The sequence below is a fragment of the Homo sapiens genome, chromosome 15 (assembly GCF_000001405.40).
Source record: "Homo sapiens chromosome 15, GRCh38.p14 Primary Assembly".
Taxonomy (NCBI): domain Eukaryota; kingdom Metazoa; phylum Chordata; class Mammalia; order Primates; family Hominidae; genus Homo; species Homo sapiens.
The window spans coordinates 94,612,699-94,616,296 of NC_000015.10; positions in this window are offsets into that span (position 1 = coordinate 94,612,699).

Consider the following 3,598-nt stretch of genomic DNA (forward strand, 5'->3'; position numbering starts at 1 on the left):
AATAAAGGAGAAAAATGTTGACATGCCTGTTATATATACATATATATATTTTTTAGACAGTCTCGCTCTGTCACCCAGGCTGGAGTGCAGTGGCACAATCTTGGCTCACTGCAACCTCTCTCTCCTAGATTCAAGCGATTCTCCTGCCTCAGCCTCCCAAGTAGCTGGGATTACAGGCCCCCGCCACCATGCCCAGCTAATTTTTGTATTTTTAGTAGAGATGGGGTTTCACCATGTTGCACAGGCTGGTCTTGAACTCCTGACATCAGGTGATCTGCCCACCTAGGTCTCCCAAAGTGCTGGGATTACAGGCATGAGCCACCGCACGTGGCCAATATCGTATTTTTGTATAGTATAACATATTTTTTATAAAATAGTGTGTAGTGCAGTCATGTGCTACATAATGATATTTTGGGCAATGACGGACCATGTATACAATGGTGGTACCATAAGATCATAATACTGTATTTTTGCCTACATTTTCTATGTTTAGATACACAAATACTATTGTGTTACATTTGCCTATAGTATTCAGTACAGTAACATGCTGTGCAGGTTGGCAGCCTAGGAGCAATAGGCCATACATATAGCCTAAGTGTGCAATAGACCACCATCTAGGTTTGTGTCAGTACACGCTCTGATGTTCGCACAAGGACAAAAATGCCAGAGACAATCCTCAGTGCGTATCACTGTTGTTAAGTGATGCATGACTGTGTTTGCTTTTGTCATACTGGCTATAATAAACAGGGAACATACATTTTAACATTTGTGCAAGCATAAATGAATGAAAATACATATATTTCTTCTTTTCTTTTCTTATGGATGAAACTTCATAATTTAGACTTTGCTAAGGATCTTATTCAAGGTCTCACTGAGGTAATATTTCTTCTGGAGGCAACAGTTAGGCTAGTCTCATCATGGCTGGCATCAATATGGCAACACAATATTGCCCATCCTTTCTCACTCTGGTTCTGCCTTTCTTGATTTTTTTTCCCCTAGAACTGTCAAGATGCTCAAATTTATTACTTAAAATAGAGATCATTGCGTGCAATTCAGTAACTTCCCCTCTGGGGAAACAAGGCCACTTTGAAGTTCCTTTTATTCTCAAAGTTCATTAAGTTTATGCCAGTGGTTGTCTCAAATTAGTTTTATAGAGATAGGCATTTTGCAAATTTGTCATTTATTGATTGCATTAAGCTGACCTAATTTAGCTAAGTTGTTTAGAAAAATGACATAATGTGAATTTATCCCCAATTATTAGATAGCAAATATATAGTAATTACTAGAAGTGTGCAGACTAGCAACAGATCCTCTAAATGCCGTATTCATTTTATCTGGCACACAGATGATTTCAAATTCACTTACTTATTTAACAAAAATTTACCCTGCACCTATGATATCTCAACATTGTGTTTGGCATGGAAACCTTAAAGGCCAATAAGCCTGAAGGGAAAGCAAAGAGCCCAAACAAATCCACACAACCAACGCAAAGGAGCATGGGCTGTGAGGAAGGACCCATGGAGGTCGGATGAGAGGAGAGAGCAGAAACTCTGCAGGAAGTGATGAAGACTACAGAAAAGACTTGAGAGATGAATAGGAATGTGCTGGAAGCCTGGGGAGGTATCTTGCAAAGAGATGGGCTATGACAAAGCCTGCTGGTTCTCAGGGAATAGGGACCATTCAAGCGATGGGGACAGAATGGGGTTCAGAGAGAAGCGGGTGGAGTGAGAAGCAGACACAATTCATAAGTGTTATGCTAGCATTCGACTGGGCCTGAGGGCTGGGGAGATTTTTAAGCAGAAGAGAGACCTGGTTGGTTTGGTGTTTTTGGAAGCTCACCACGAAAGCTACATGAGAGAAGGACTGGAGAGTGGAGACTGAAGCAGAAGATGGGATAAAAAACAGCCTCCAGGGGTGTGCAGAGTCCAGGTAAGAGAGGCTAAATCTGCTCTAAGGAAATGACACTGAGTCTAGAGAAGAGAGGAATGAAGGATCTGAGAAATGTTTCAAGGTTCATTTAACGGCAGAGGTTTTTGCTTCCCTGTGTGTCCACATCATGGGTCTGAGAGCAGTCTGACCTGAAGCAGAGATAGGGGAGCTTTTGTCTTTTTGGGCTGATTGGCACGTGCCATAGGCTGTCTTCCCACCGCAGATCAATAAGTGAAGAAGACGGGATGCTGCCCTCATCTTTTTAGGAAGGACCGTAACACTGGACTGATAGTAGCTGCAGATAAACCACCTCCTGCCTAATTATCCCTCTGAAAGCATAAAGTGTCCCTCCCCTTTCTTCTTGTCCAGGAGCAGCTCCAATGGTGGAGTGTTCAGTCATCCTCTTGTCTCAGTTGGGCAGGGTCAAAGTGCCAATAGTGCAGAGTCCGAGTCCTACTTGGAAAAATCACACAGTCAACTATAACTCTGTAACAGGAAAGGATGACAACAAGGAGGCACAGAAGTTCCTGGGTTGCAAGTGCCTTTCGAGCACCTGGAAATTCTATTAGAGCCTATCAGGTAGGTTTGCAATGATGATGCTTCTTCGGCAGCTCTGACCTGCTCTTGCAGAAGGCATTGTCAAGAATAGGGCATGCCAAGAAAGCACCTGGGTGTAAGAATCCTACAGACCTGTTTTGCATCCTGACCTATGTCATCTTTCTTATCTCAGCCAACTTACTCAACTCGTCTGAGCCTCATCTCCTTGTCATCAAGCGGGGGTCACACCTAATTTTCTTTCTTTCTGTAGGGACTGAAGGTCATGAAAAATACAAAATTCTCAACAGAGTGTAATGTCCTTGATCTTGCCTCACCTCCCACAGGGAAAGGAAACTTCCTGACTTGAGCCTCTAGCAGAGGCACCAATGGGTTTTCTCAGGACCCCAGCACAACCCAACTTTCTTTTATTTGCATAGTTGCTTAACTTTTCTATTAATATTCTTCTCTCTGATCGCAAGCATTTTGAAGACAGGCAATGCAAAGATGTATTCCTTTTTCCTGTACTTGAAATAATCCTAATCCATTCCATCCCTTGGGGTCGGACCCTGCATCTTATTTATTACCTAAAACATTGCAAAAGATTAAATAGTTTGAGAAAGATTGGAAATTCACTGTCATAGGTGGTGGCGAAGTTAATGATATGAGAGGGAGAGAAGGAGGCTACTATCAGTTGTTGAATATGAGACAATGTTTTACACAATGAGTCAGTGTTGTACATTTTACATTTGACTCATCAACCCTGTGAGATCAGTGTAGCCATGAACATTGGAACCCCCTCCCAAAAAATTAGTGTGTGGAACAAGGTAAAATTTATTACTTATGTAAGACAGTTAAGACGAGCAGTAAATATGATGGCTCCACAGGCATCCTTCTGTGCTAATGTTCTGTAATCCTCAGCTTATTTCCTCCAGGCTCAGGATGGTTGCTTATGCTCCAACCCTCACATCCATATTCTAAGCAGAGGAATGAAGGAAAACATAGAAGGTATGTCCACACCCTCTAAGAATATTTCTCAGTTGTGGACCTTTGGTTTCCTCTTACTTGTCTTTCACCAGAATGTACTCTCAGTCTCTTTTAGCTAGAAGAGAGTCTGGAAAATGAGTCTGTTATC